The 15,499-nt window shown below is 39.1% G+C and overlaps 1 pseudogene across 2 annotated transcripts; it reads right to left on the bottom strand.

Annotated features, from left to right (window-relative positions):
* Positions 1–309: 309 nt before the first annotated feature.
* Positions 310–15,208, bottom strand: ENPP7P13 (ectonucleotide pyrophosphatase/phosphodiesterase 7 pseudogene 13; annotated as a pseudogene). 2 transcript variants are annotated; one of them, NR_130771.1, is made up of 3 exons: positions 14,914–15,208; positions 6,938–7,030; positions 310–5,359 (listed from the first exon to the last, which is right to left on the bottom strand). The product of NR_130771.1 is annotated as an ectonucleotide pyrophosphatase/phosphodiesterase 7 pseudogene 13, transcript variant 1 (transcript). The 2 variants fall into 2 exon arrangements; NR_130772.1 differs by lacking the exon at positions 6,938–7,030.
* Between the last annotated feature and the right edge of the window lie 291 nt (positions 15,209–15,499).

Here is a 15,499-nt window from a genome sequence, read left to right as displayed (position 1 = left end):
TATTAACTATATTTTTAATCATATATGCTTATATATAAAATAGACATAGGATATATATTTACATGTTCACTATATTGTAATTGTTGCTATGGATGTGGTTTTTCAATAGAATTAATAAGTACTTTTAAAAATTTTCGATTTCAATGATATATATGTTTGACTTTTCTTTGACAAAGCATACATATATTGATAGGTAATAATATGAAAATCTTCTAAAGACATTACAGGAACATGAAAATGTAATTAAATCCTCACTAATTTGTAATGTTTTATGTAAGCGGAACACATTTAACTGAAAATTGCTTTTATATAATACTCAAACGAGACTAAAAACATTTTAACTAGCGGAGTAAGTCTCCAAATTGATAATCTGAACTATATAAGAGGAGAAACTTCAGGCACTAAAATATTTGAAATGCTACAAAATATTTATATAAACTATTATTTAACAATTTCTGTTTGTAGAGTGCTATACAGTAATCAATATAAATGACATCTCAAGTCTTTCTATAGCTTTGACCACATTTACCTCCTAATTTTAATTATTAATATGTTGGAGCAGTGCATACAACTAGATTCCGATCTTCCTTTTTAATGAGTAAAAATGTGTCCTTTGAGACAGCATTAAAGAAAGAGCACCTTGTATAAATTCAATGCCAAGAGACAAGATATTCTTGATTCTGAAGTCTTGTTCTTTTATACAGCACTGTAATTAATAAGAAGAAGAAAAGCAGGACATAGATGTGGAGTCTATTTTAATAAAAAATTGTCTATAGATTTTGATGATAAAATTTAAAAATCTACTATATTCAGTTAGTTACAAAAAACTAGGTTGTGGGAACATATTTGGTCAATAAAACACCCTTACCAAATGCTGACAAGAAAAAAAGTTAGGTACCACGTTTCTTTTCTGCAGATGGCCTGAGATGGGTTAGTTTGAAAGAATGCTTCCAAACCTGAGATGACCCCTGAGAACAGCATAATCCACTGCTGTCTCCTACATTCAGTTTCTCAGTTTGTGCTCTTTTAATTTTGGGGGTAGGGAAGGGAGTCCTTTCAACCGATCTTCAGCATGATGGCAGAGCCAAGAAGTGTGGACAGGTGGCACGGTGTCTGACTTTGTTCCAGCAGCCACTTGGGCTTTCTCTGGGTCTTCTCTGCCCTAGGGATAGCACCACTATTGAAAACATGTCTTTGTGACATTCTCTATGCCAGGAACTCCCAACACATTTTCCTTGACACTGATGAAATGAATAAAAATAAACCAAGAGGTGTGCTGTTTGTTTCTGTTTCCTCCTTTCTGCAGCCCTTCTTGATCATCTAATATTTTAAAATACATTGTCGATCACCAAAAGGAGCATAAGGTGTATATTGATTTGTAGCAGGTGTATTAATAGCCCAGCCCCTATTCCTCACCTGTAGCTGCTGGGAAGAAAATCATTCTTAACACTCTACAAGGTCTCATCTCCAGAATTTGCACCTGTTTCTAGCTGAGGACTTTCTCTAGCAGCACGGGAGCTTGTTACTGGGCATGAAGTGGGAAGAAAAGGTGAGGGTAACTAAGAAGAATCTCCCTGGATTCAGTGATGTAATTCTGAGGCATGTTCCACATAGCTTCCCAGAGAATTAAGCCCAGATATCTAACACAGGAACTTGCCTCTTAACAAGTGTGGTATTGGCTTTTCTATCTTTCCTGTTTTATTTTGTTCTCTCTTCCTTGTCTCACTTTCACTGTGTCCTCACTCCTGCTTTAAGAATACCAAAACAAATACATTCATTTATTTTTTTAAACTCTCAGAACACAGTTGATAGTTGAACTTGTAATCTATGATAATCATCTTGGATGCTATACTGACAGGAAGATGGTGAACTCACAATGTCTAATTAAGATAAAATTAAAAAATATATTGATTCATGTCCAAAGATTTAAAAAACCTAAGTGGCAGTGTCACAATTTCTTCTTTTTAGTTTACATGGTTTCTTAAATGCCTACAATTATTTTAAAGGAAGCCTTGTGTCTAGGAAAAATCAAGACATATGGAATAAATTACTAACCCATTTCTCCTTGAAATCCATTAGATGCTTGATGATTTTTCACATATATTTCTGAATTGAAAAGCTAGTTGTGAATTATTTTTATAAGCATATCCTTATGTAATATTTTGTTTTTAACAGTGAATTGAAGGTTTAAAGATTAAAGTATTCTATCCAGAGAATAAAAAGCAATTATTTCACAAGGAGAACATGTATATATTGACACGACATTTTAAAATCTATATTTTTGAGTCAATTAGAATATGTTTATATCAGTCTGTCTACAGTTTTACACATGTCAAAATGTACTTGAACTACAACAAGTACCTTGAACAATTTTGAAATTTATTATTCCTCTGAAACTGATTAAAAGAATTATGGTATAGTGAAATTCTAATTGGTATAATTTGGGAGAGGAATTATTCTTGGAGATCAACCTCTGCCAAGATAGTTTATAATGACATTGAGACTTTTTGATTTACAAAATTTGTTATATAAAAAATACTAAGACGATGACAGGTAATACACAGACTTTAATTAAAATCGTACTAAAATTAAATGTCTAAATAAATTAGAGGGGTACATGGTACATCTAATTGTATGTTTACATATTTTATTTGTGCATTTTATTCCTAGGGTTGCTTTTGCTTTAGTTTGTAAAACGTTCTTATTTTTATGATAATGTAGTATATACTAAATAAAGAAAAATCAGGAAATAGAAAATGAAGAAGAAAACATTAGCTATTATCAACCAAATAAAAATTGTGCAATCTCTAAGCACATGAACTATGTATTATTTGTACAGCATGTACAGTGTTTATGCGTCACAGGGTGAGGTAGAGACTGCAAAACATTTAACCTGGGACAAATAAGAAAGTAAGGAAATTTTCACAATATATTAATATTATAGAAAATGTTGAACTTAACAGTTAAGATAAAAGTAGTGAAAAATGATAGTATTTAAGGAGATCTAGAAAATTTAATCTATCTCTGTAATGTGTGAGAAGTATTAGAATAATGCTTGTATTTCTGGATTGGCATCGATTTCTATTGAGACCGGAAACATAATAGAAGTGAGGGAAAAAGAATTTAAATTGCGGATACTTGAGTTTTATACCTAGGAGTTCGAGAAATACATTTTGTTACTATCAAAGCAGTTGGCACAAGAGTGTACAAAATTCCCTAATTGTGTCTATGTGGAGAAGACATAGACAAACAGAATAGCAAAACAGAAATAGCAAAAAAGCAAAAATAAATTTTACCTGTATTTTTATGTAAAAGCCAATTAGAGTAGGAAAACATGAAATTTGTGTTTTCTCAAAATTTTTCTCTTTCTCATAATATAGTTGATTATATTACTGGAAAAAAATTGAAGCATTGGTATGTTCACAAAAAAAAAGTAAAATATAAGTTCAAAACCATGGGACTGCAGGGAGCAGACAAAATATACCTAAACACCGAAACTGATTTTGCCCTACGGACATGTACCAAAATGAATGAGTGCAGATTCCTACTGTCATACATCACATAGGACAGTAAAGAAATACATAGTGTTTCCCAAGATAGGGCATCACACAGGAGCTCCTCCCTAAAGCTAGGACCAAAATTTCTATCCTCAGTATAAAGAAGAATCAGAGGTAAATTAATCCCATTTCACATTCCCTGGAAATGGCAAATAAAAATGACTTGAGATTGGACAGATTTAAAGAAACTCAATCACTAATGATTTACAGCAATTAATTAAAAAATTGTTTAAATGTGCAGTCCGAACATACATCCAAACACCTTTAGACCAAGAATTAACATAATGTGGTCCCAGAATGGTGATGCCTTTAGTAGACTCACAAAAAAATTCAAATTCTCTTTGGCAAGTTTTCTTCTTACTAATACTCAAAAGTGCACAAAAATAATTTTCGGAGAAAAATAAATATTTGTCATTCAAAGGCATCTAAGTACACAAGGAAATGATATTCCAACATTTGAAAGGAAAGCAGAAAAAGAGTACAAACAGATCCATAAAGGTTCATTAGTAGAAATATCACTGTTAGATTATAAAGCACATTTGCTTTAAAAAAATTTAAAATAAAAAGAATATATTTTAGGAGACTAAAAAATTGATGTAGCAAATTTGAAAAGTAGTTTGCATAAAAATATAGTATTTTAAATTAAAAACTCAAAAATGAACTCATCAGATTAGACATGGCCATGGTGAGAGTTCATAAATATTTCAGAATGCATTACAGAAAATTTTTAAAAATGCAAAATGTGGACAGAGTCATTAAGAGACATGGAAGATACAGTGAGAAAATGTAGCATGTGTTTAGTGAGTGTTCTCATAGAAGAAGGGAACTGGGAAGGGACAATATGTGATGGTATTTTGGCTGAAAGTTCTCTAGACTTTTGTAAGACACTAATCTGCATATTCAAAAGTTCCATGCACGCTAAGCAAGCTACAGTGGAGATAAACCTACACCTATGTATCTCCTAGAGAAATAGTAAACAATCAGGAAGGGAAAAATATTTCAATTAGCACTAGAAAAATCAAATTACCTTTAATCATATTGAAATCAGAAAGAATGAAAGGTAAAATAAACAATATTATTTGTTAAGACTAATAATGCCATTCTGAAATTCTCAACCAAGAAAAATATTCATCAACCTATGGCTAAATAACATATTTAGAGACAAAAAACAAAACGCCTCCAGCAGAATTCCACTAAAGAAACTGAAAACATGCTTCAGAAAGGTTGAAGTTCTGAAATCAAAGAATGAACACAGAGCAAAATATATTGTAAACATACAGATAGATTTAAATAAAAAATTAGGTGTTGAAACAAAAATATATTTAAAATTAGATAAGCACTGCAATATGTATGTTAGGAAGCAAATTATTAGGGCTGAAGTATTCAAAGACCCCTTAATTGTCTGACAAGAGCAGAAAGGTGAGTATGACTTTGCAACTCTTTTTTTTTTTTTTTTTTTTTTTTTGAGAAGGAGTCTCACTCATTCTTTCGCCCAGGCTGGAATGCAGTGGTGCCATCTCGGCTCACTGCAACCTCTGCCTCCCAGGTTCAAGCAATTCTCCTGCCTCAGCCTCCTGAGTAGCGGGGATTACAGCCGCGTGCCACCATGCCTGGCTAATTTTTGTATTTTTAGTACAGACGGGGTTTCACCACGTTGGTCAGGATAGTCTCCAACTCCTGACCTCGTGATCCACATGCCTCGGCCTCCCGAAGTGTTGAGATTACAGGCGTGAGCCACTGCACGTGACCGACTTTGGAACTTTAATAAATTCACTGGACGTTATGCATTTCTCTGTTGTTATCTATGAAAACAATAAAAATAAAAGTCATAATTTAAAAACAAGAAGACAGAAACTAATAGGAGAAAATGAGACAATATATATATATACAACAAATTAATAAAACAAATTAAGTATAAATGATCAAAGATTAACTTAAACCTAAGTAGACAATGTTTTTGTTAAAATACAAAGATTGGCAAAATTAAAAAAGTCCATCTCTATCATAGTTACAAGAGAGGTAACTAATATATTAATTTACAGAAACTTTGAAGTTCAAACAATACAGATACTGTGTATATATGATATACATACAAACATACTACATGAATATAATTTTTTAAAAACTTGCTATGTAGACAAAATAGAATGTAAGTTAGAAACATTTATTAAAATAAGTTAGTCTAACCAGTGTGATAAAAGATTTAAGTTATTAAGACGATGTGATGACTTAAATGTGCATTAGCCTGATACATACATACATATATACACACACACCACACACTCACACATATACGTATTTAGAGAGAGAGTCAAATTATATAAAGCAAAAATATCAGAAAGTAAGTAGAAATGGATAAGCCCCCAAATCATTATAGACTTTTGAAACACACATCTTTCAGTAATAGATAAAAGAAAAAATTAAAAGAGTAAGTTTTAAAAGAAGCTAGTGGATTTTAAAAAGGGCAAATGTTATATAAGGAACATGAATATTATAATTCATGTTATTTTCATGTTCATACAGAATACTTACAAAAATTAACATTTTCTAGACCATACCACAAATTCAAACAATTTTCACGAAAATAACGTGACACAGAATATATTTCCTAAACAAACAGCAATGAAGGTAGATATCAATACAAAAAAGAAAGCTAGAAACATAGGTCTAATAATATTGGCTGGAAGCTATTTTAATGAATATTGAAATATTTTAAAGGTGAATAGTCAATACAAATGAACCAAACACTTTTGTAAGGCCACTAAGATGCATGTGTAATGTGTAATGCCTCCTTTTATAAGGAGTAAATCTGTAACATCACCTGGGCTATTTGACAACTGCAAAGTGAATATGAGAAGGAGAGAAACAGTGAGAGAGAGAGAGATAAAACCAGTAAAATAAACATAAAGAATGAAGGAAATAGCCAGGTGCCATGGTTCACGCCTGTAATCCCAGCACTTTGGGAGGCCGAGGCAGGTGGATCACCTGAGGTCAGGAGTTCGAGACCAGCCTGGTCCAACATGGTGAAACCCATTCTCTACTAAATATACAAAAATTAGCCTGGCATGGTGGCATGCACCTGTAATCCCAGCTACTCGGGAGGCTGAGGTGGGAGAATTGCTTGAACGTGGCGGGTGGAGGTTGCAGTGAGTAGAGATCAATGCACTCCAGCTTCGGCGACAGAGCAAGACTCCATCTCAAAAAAAAAAAAAAAAAAAAAGGAGGAACCAGTACATGAAAAAGCAGTATTAAAGCAACTGAGTATATATTTAAAAACGCAAAAGCTCACTTTTTCAGAAAAATATTAAAATATTAAATCTAACAAATATCTAGGTAGACTGATGGAGAAAAATACAGAAAATGCACAAAAAACCAATTACCTGGAATGCGAAGGTTACAAAACGTCAGCAGTTGTAAATTTCAAATAAGCAATGACTTTGAGTTCAACCATGATGGGGTATATTGAAAAGAATCTCTCAGAAAAAAAAGAAAAAGAAAACTGTTATAAAGCTATGTACAAAATGTTAAGCACTATTAAAGTCTTCCAATTCTACCAGTTATGGAGTTATTGGTTTTGGACTAACTCTCCTGAAAAAAAAAAAAAAAAAAAACAAAAGAAAACAAACAAACAAAAAAAACTAAAAACCTGGATAAAATAGCCTACCGTGGGCACTGGCAATGCAACCAAGCAGGTAGGACATGGGTGCTACATTCTCTTTGTCAGAACACAAAGCATTCATACACTCTTCTCACCCTCACTCTCACCTTTTAATCTTAGATCTACTATTAAATGTTTTCAACATTACTATCAATCCTTTGGTCAAAATTTCTTTACTCACATTTTGCTTGATGCACTTGGATAGACTGTTCAAGAAAGTGTGAGTAGTGAATTCCTCAAACTCTTGCATATTTAAAATTACATTTTTGAACCTTGATGCTTGAAGTGTAGCTTGGGTAATGGGTGGGCTTTAAGCCAATTTTGGCATGCAAGGGGTTGAGTTTATTAGGCATCAGCACCTCTGAAAATTGTGGGGATGCAGGCTTAATTTCAACACTTGAAAGGTATTATATAATTCTTTAATAAACTCCTGTGTCTACAAATCGTTCGCATTATCTCAATATCCATGATTAAACATCTATAAAATCAAGGCACTCTTATTTAGTGGAGACTTGCTGGCTATTCTATGAGAGGAGGTATTGTTATTGTAATCTCATCCTCTCAAAAAAGTGTATCATATTACTCATAACCAGCCCTTCATATTCTATTCCTATTTTGGTATTTTAAAATAAGATATCTTTGAAACACTTCAATTCAAAGAGGGAATCTGAATAGTTTTTAAAATGTCAATGAAATGCCATTTCTTCATGCTTGAACAAATAAAAATCGACTAAAGTGCTTCTCTTCAAACTTTCTGGAACATTTTTTATCTAAATTCTAAGAACAATCACAATAGGTTTTAACCACAAATGTGAGAATGTTCTAAATGTTAGGGTGGAAAAATTTTTTAAATAATTTTATAGTAATTTTTTTCATCATAGTGACAGTGTGCTAAATTTTTTAAGTCAAATATTACTGTGGACATTTAAGTCAAGATTCTAAGAAGCTGTTCTAAAGTCCAAAATTTAGTTTCATATACAGTGATGTTATATATATATTTGCATATAAAATTAATATATGTGAGCCATGTTTCAAATAGTTGAGAGATTATTATATCAAAGATTCTTGATTATATAAAATGCCAATTACTTATAGGCACACATGCTTTAAATAATTACAAAGGCAGTTGTGGTTGATTCTACTCTTGCTACTGGCATTTATATGGACATCATATTATGGTCTGAAGAATGTTTAGGCAAATTTATCCCTCATATGGTCAGAAGAACAATGCAAGATAGTTTATATCTGAAAGGAAAAAAATCTTTATATGGTTCTGAAAGCCTAAATCATTAACAACTTGGATAATAATTAGCATAAAAATACACAAACGTGCCCTCTTCCTAGCAGTAAGTACCCAGTGATAACAGAATCAAAGCATGTGGCTATGTGCATGTTTATATTTCAAGACGCAGAGCACTCTATTCCTCTTCTCTGCCCTTTCTAGTTGGCACAATTCCTCATGAATCTAAGTGCAGTCATAGGGTGGATTAGAGTGACCTGCCATTTGTATGCAACTGATCTCTATTTTGGAAGTAATTAAAGTAAAAATATATTTTTAAAAGATAATTTCAAATTTCAGTGCAAACTAGCATGGATTCACCCCTTTTCTTTGCAACATTTTTTCTAAGGTTGGAAAAGTAAGGTAGGCTTTAGTACGATTTTTAATAATAAGTTTTCAAAGTGAGATGCAAAATGGTGGCGCCAACACATTTCAAATCTGCTACATTTTGAATACACTTATTGGAGAAAAGACCTTCTCATCATTTTTCTCTTACAGGAAAGGAAATAACATGTACAGTTGACCCTTAAGCAACACGGAGGTTGGGGCGCTGGCCCCACTGCACAGTAGAAAATCCACTATAACTTTGACTCCCCCAAAACTTAACTACTAATAGCCTACTGTAAGCCTTACAAATAACACAAGCAGTCAATTAACACATATTTAATATGTTATATGTCTTATATACTGTATTCTTAACAAACATGCCAGAGAAAAGAAAAAGAAAATGATAAGGAAAATATATTTACTAGTTATTAAATGGAAGTAGATGATCAGACAGGTCTTCATCCTCATCCTTTTCCTGGGCAGGGTGTGGAGAAAGATGTAGAATTGTTGGTTTTGCTAAGTGGACCTGCACAGTTCAAACCCCTGTGGTGTAAAGGCCAACTGTATAGCCATTGAATAGCAATTTATTTTTAGAAATTAACCTCACTAAAATACTCTTAGAAGGATGCCAAGAAAAAAAATGAATAAGTATTTTTGGTTCATCTATTTCATCATTTCATTTCATTTCCTCATTTCATCATTTCATCTTTTCATTTCATCATTTCATCTCATTTCATCTCATCATTTCATCATTTCATCATTTCATCACAACATTTCATTTCATCATTTCACTTCATCTCATTTATTCATTTCATCTCATGATTTCATTTCATCTCATCATTTCATCTTTTCATCTCGTCATTTCATCTTTTCATCTCATTGCATTTCATTTCATCATTTCATCAATTCATTTCATTTCATTTATTTCATCATTTCATTTCACCATTTCATCATTTCATCATTTGACTTCATTTCATCATTTCATCATTTCATAACATCATTTCATCACTTCATCTTTTCATTTCATCATTTCACTTCATAATTTCATCATTTCATTTCCTCATTTCATTTCATTTCATCCTTTCATCATTTCATCTCATCATTTCATCCTTTCATTTCATTATTTCATTTCATCATTTCATCTCATCGTTTGCATTTCGTCACTTCATTTCATTTCATCATTTCACTTCATCTCATCATTTCATCATTTCATCTCATGATTTCATTTCATCTCATTTCATCTTTTCATCTCATCATTTCATTTCATTTGATCATTTCATCTATTCATCATTTCATCATTTCATTTCATTATTTCATCATTTAATCATGTCACTTCATCTCATCATTTCATCATTTCATCTCGATTTCATTTCATCTCATCATTTCATTTCATCTCATTTCATCTCATGATTTCATTTCATCTCATCAATTCATTTCACCTTTTCATGTCCTCATTTCATTATTTCATTTCATCTTTTCATCTCGTCATTCATTTCATCATTTCAATTCATCATTTCATTTCCTCATTTCATCATTTCACTTCATTTCATTCCATCATTTCATATCATTTCTTCATTTCACCATTTCATCATTTCATCATTTCATTTCATCATTTCATCATTTCACTTCATTTCATTTCCTCATTTCATTCCATTTCATCATTTCATTTCATTTCTTCATTTCATCATTTAATTTCATTTCATCATTTCATCATTTCATTTCATTTCAGTGATACATGTATTTAAGTGCTAATGCGATGCCCAGGAGACACCCTATTTCCTTGTAAAACACCTCCTTCAACAAAAGGCAACCTCTCATGGCTGGCTAAGTCTACAGGGATACCAGCCTCTCTTCAACCACCCAATTTGATTTAGAACCTCAAACAGCACCTCAGTTTCATAAAAACCTAAAACATAAACACAACACTTGGTTGTAAGTGAGGCAACAGTTTCTTGTCTCTTTCTCTGCTCAAGGCTTAAGGCCATGTCTCCCCAACTACGTTCAGTGGAAGAAAAGATCCCCTGGACAAATAAGTTTGAGAACTGTTGTTGCAGGACTTCTCAGAACCTTTAAAACACAAATCCTCATCCGCAGGGATCTTCAGAAGGGAGACGGCTGATGCAGCACAACTTTCTTTCACAGGAGCATCTTGCAGAATACAGTATGAGATACAGAAAGGCTGCATTGAGTCTTTTTAAGGGCCCGGGCCTTGGTGGGGGTGGGGTAGGAGCTCTCCAGATAGCATCTAATGAGTAGGAACATTCAGGTGGCTTTTTTTTCTCCTTATTGGCAAAACTGTGTGTGCACCATGAACGAAGTTGGTCTCCCTTATCCATATCAAAACTAAACCCAAATTAATTGGCTAAATTGGGACTCAACACCTCCAGGAGCCACGCAGAAGAAAGCCCCACCACACTTTAAAGTAGCTTACCTCATCATATTTGAGGAAAGCAAAATGCTTATGACCAGTATGCTGCTAATACAAGTCTACAGATAATGCTGTAGGAAAAATTATTTTTCCCAATCATAGCTGGCATAGTCCACATTTTGCATTACACTTTCCCCCCTTTTTTTAAATTTGAAACACAGGTCTTTTCCTCTTCTTTTATTAAATTTTAATTTAATTATACAAGACAGAGTCTCAGTATGTTGCCCAGGCTGGTCTTCAACTCCTGAGCTCAAGCGATACATCTGTCTCTGCCTCCCAAAGTACTGAGATTACAGGCCTGAGACACTGTGCCCGGCCTTAAACACAAATCTTAATTCATTCTTACAATTATCCTGAGGTTAGAAAAATGGAAGGGGAAGAAAAATGGCAAGCAGGTAGGCTGACTTCAGCTTCATTATTTGGAAGGACAGTTTGCTCGGTTAAAACACACTACTGCCCACAAAGGCCAAGACAACAGAAAAATACAGACTTATATAAATAGATTTTATATGTGACAGCAGTTTAAATGGAGACTTTTTCAATGAAAATGACAAACAGCTGTGCTTGGGAATAAATGACAACGAATTTTTTATCTCAATAGCTGTCCTGAAAGCATGTCTCTACATCTCTACCTGCATTCTGGAATCAGGGAGAAAGCCAAAATGGACGACAAGACACTAGATCAGCTGTGTCCAACCCTTTGACTACAAGGACTTTTCCACCTATCTGTGGTGGTGGGTATCATGAAAATTATGCACAAACCTTTTTTTTTTTTTTAAGCTCATCAGCTATCGTTAGCATTAGTGTATTTTATGTGCGGCCTAGGAGCATTCTTCTTCCAATGTGGCCCTGAGAAGCCAAAAGACTGGACACCTGTGCACTAGATCAAAAGGCTACTCCTTCTGGAAGCAATTGTAAAGAATTTCTGACATTATCTAGACATGAAAACCAATGGATAGTGAGACAGAATGCAAAATCTTCAAGAATTTTTCTTGTTGGTTTTTTTTTTTTGCGTCAAGGTCTTGCTCTGTGGCCCAGACTGGAGTACACTGGTGAGATCACAGCTCAGTGCAGGCTCAAGTGCTCCTCCCACCTCAGCCACAGTAGTACCTGGAACTACAGATGCGCACAACCACCCCTGGATAATATTTTATTTTTTGTAGAGACGGGGTCTCACTATATTGTCCAGGTTGTTCTCAAACTCCTTGACTCAAGGGATCCAGGACAAGATAACAGGTGTGAGCCACTCCACCTGGCCATGTGCAGGAACTTTTAAGACAAACACAAGGCCCCACAAAAGTTAAGGTTTTCCCACCTAATTTCCAGGGGATCTTTTGGTGCAAGGATGAGAAGCCCTTAAAAGTACACAGACAACTCCAAAGATTCAAGACAGTTCATTCGGGCTGAGCCAGCCCACTGGGCAGACTGACCTTCAAAAAAGGCCCACCCATGACATACACCAGATGGCTCTCCAAGAATCTCTCCGGTCCTCAGGGTCCCTAAGGTACTGGACAGAGCTAGGAAAGCAAGCCTATTTGCTTTTTCCTGCAAGAAACCCCTTGAGGTCAAGACCCCACAATCAGACGAGGATGGAGTGGCTCACCCTCAGTCAGCATGCCAGATTCAAGGTGGTATAATGTCTTAACCAAGCGTGTGGGCCTCCAGGTCTGACTCCCAACTCAGTTCTCCTTTAATAACCACTCTTTGTTAATTCTCCTTAACAGGGGTTCCTGGCAAGTCAGTTCTCCCTCAGGCCTTCGGTTTCCTCACCTACAAGATGAGAGGGCTGGACCAGATGGAAATTCGGGGGGGAGGGGGTAAGGGGATGTCCGCGCGCAGCCCACCCCACCCATGGGCCCCTCGAGCCTCTATCCCAGTTCCCACCACGCACCCGCCCCAGAAATCCTGCCCAAGGTGAGGGCTGGACCGGGGTCCTCCGGCTGCCGCATCAGCGAGTGCAGGAGGGAGAAGCCTCCAACCGGGCGACTCGAGCTCAAGGATGCAACTCCACCAGAAGTGAACTAGGGCCCGGAGGGAGGTGTCCGGGCCGCTCCTCGAGCCCAGCCGGGGTCCACACACCCCTTACCTCCAGGGTCCGTATCTCCTGCTGGGTGAGGTCGTTGGACACAGCGCACTTGGTGCGCAGCCCGCGCAGGCTGCCGATGAGGTTCTGGAGCTGCCCGCACTGCTGCAGCGCCCGGCTGGCCGCCGCCCCTGCGCCTCCCACCGCGGCCGCCGCATCACCCCCGCCACCGCCCTCCTTCTTCTCTCACATCGCGGCCGCGCGGAGCGCCGCAGCGGCCAAGGCGGGGAGCCCGGGGCGCCGGCGCGTAGGCAAGGGACCCCCGATCCGGGAGAGCTGGACCAGGAGCGCCCCTCAGCGCTGCCCGAGCCAGGACGCCGGTAGAGCTGGCAGCCGAGTGTGCCGCTCCCGCCCTCAGAGCCGCGGCGGGCAAAAAGCTGCGGCGTCGGGGGCAAAAAGGCGCGGCGTCGGGGGCAAAGAGCTGTGGCGGCGGGGGCAAAGAGCCGCGACGGCAAAAACCCGCGGCGGCGGGGGCAAAAAGCCGCGGGGGCAAAAGCCACAAAAAGCCACGGCGGCAGGGGCAAAAAGCCGCGGCGGCGGGGGCAAAAAGCCGCGCCGGCAAAAAACAGCGGCGGCGGGGGCAAAAAGCCGCGGCGGCGGGGGCAACAAGCCGCAAAAAGCCGCGGCGGCGGGGGCAAAAAACCGCGGCGGGGGCGGCGGCAAAAGCGGCGGCGGCGGGGACGGAGGCAAAAAGCCGCGGCGGCGGCGACGGCGGCAAAAAGTGGCGGCGGCAAAAGGCGGCGGCGGCAAAAAGCGGCGGCGGCAAAAGGCGGCGGCGGCAGAAAGCGGCGGCGGCGGCAGAAAGCTGCGGCAAAAAGGGGCGGCGGCAGAAAGCGGCGGCAAAAAGCCGCGGCTGCGGGAGCAAAAATATATGTATAGACATATATATTTTATATGCAGTCTTGCTTTGTCACCCAGGCTGGAGTGCAGTGGCGCGATGTCAGCTCACTGCAACTTCCACCTCCTGGGTTCATGCAATTCTCCTGTGTAGCTGGGATTACAGGCATGCGCCAGCATGCCTGGCTAATGTTTGTGTTTTTATAGAGACGGGGTTTCGCCATGTTGGCCAGGCTGGTCTCGAACTCCTGACCTCCAGTGGTCTGCCCGCCTCACCCTCTCAAAGTGCTGGGATTACAGGCGTGGGCCACTGCGCCTGGCCCCATATTTGGCTTTTTAAAAACCTGTCTGTATTGTCTACAGCCTGGGCAGATCTGTCAGGGAGGTCTTGGCTGGGAGATGGAAACGATGCAAGGGAGAGGGAGAGGCTGACACAGCCAGCTGGAAGGGCAGGCAGGAGAGGGGAGCCGTGGGAGCCGGCTGGGAGCCTGCCACACTCCCCTCCTCCTGAAGCCTTTTGGGGTTGCTGCCCTGCCTGTGGCCACGGGTTTAAGGACCCCCCTGGTCATTTTTCTTTGTCCCAGATCTGTTGCTACCAACGGTGAGGTATTCCTAATGTTCCCCTTGGCTGTGTCCTGTGCATGGAGCAAGGACCTCTCCCCTTTTTCCTGCACGACAGGGCTCTGTGCCACCTATTTTCTCAGGCCCTCCCACCCCCAGGCCCCATCCTGGGGCAGTACTCACCGGTGACCAGGGTGAAGTGGCAGGGGCTGGTCATGGTGACAAAGGCGGGGGTCATGTAGCGTGCCTTCACCCCATCTCGGGCCATGGCGTCCAGGTTGGGGGTGTCCACGTCCTGCTCGTAGTTCCAGCGGAAGCTGTCGAAGGACACCAGGAGCAGCTTGTTCCGGGAGCCCTGACTTTGTACCGGTGCCCCGGCCCTGGGAGCCAGGAGCGTGGGCAGAGCCACAGTGAGGAGGACGGTCGGGCCTCTCATGCTGGGCCTTCCAGATGGACAGGCACACAGGGTGCACAGGGCTGGCTCCTGCCGAAGAGGGCAAAGTCCCAGGGTCACCTGGGCTGATCTCATCCCGTGTGTCTTTGGAATGTGGCTGTGCACATCCCCGGGTCATACCTCCGGAGTGGGCTCCCCAGCCGTGTCAGTGCCACCCCTGGACCCAGCCTCAAGTGCGTGGGACGGCATCAACTTGAGCATCTGCCTTTATTGCCAGCCGCGCCCTTGGGGCTCCAGGCTCCTCTCCTCCCTCCCCAGAGTGCGGACAGTGACCCAGGGCTCAGAGCACAGCAGGAGCCCATTCTACCGGGAAAG

This window comes from Homo sapiens, chromosome 16, assembly GCF_000001405.40.
Source record: "Homo sapiens chromosome 16, GRCh38.p14 Primary Assembly".
Classification (NCBI taxonomy): Eukaryota; Metazoa; Chordata; class Mammalia; order Primates; family Hominidae; genus Homo; species Homo sapiens.
The sequence above is the reverse complement of the archived record's forward strand: the minus strand, read 5'-3'. Positions and strand labels throughout refer to the sequence as shown.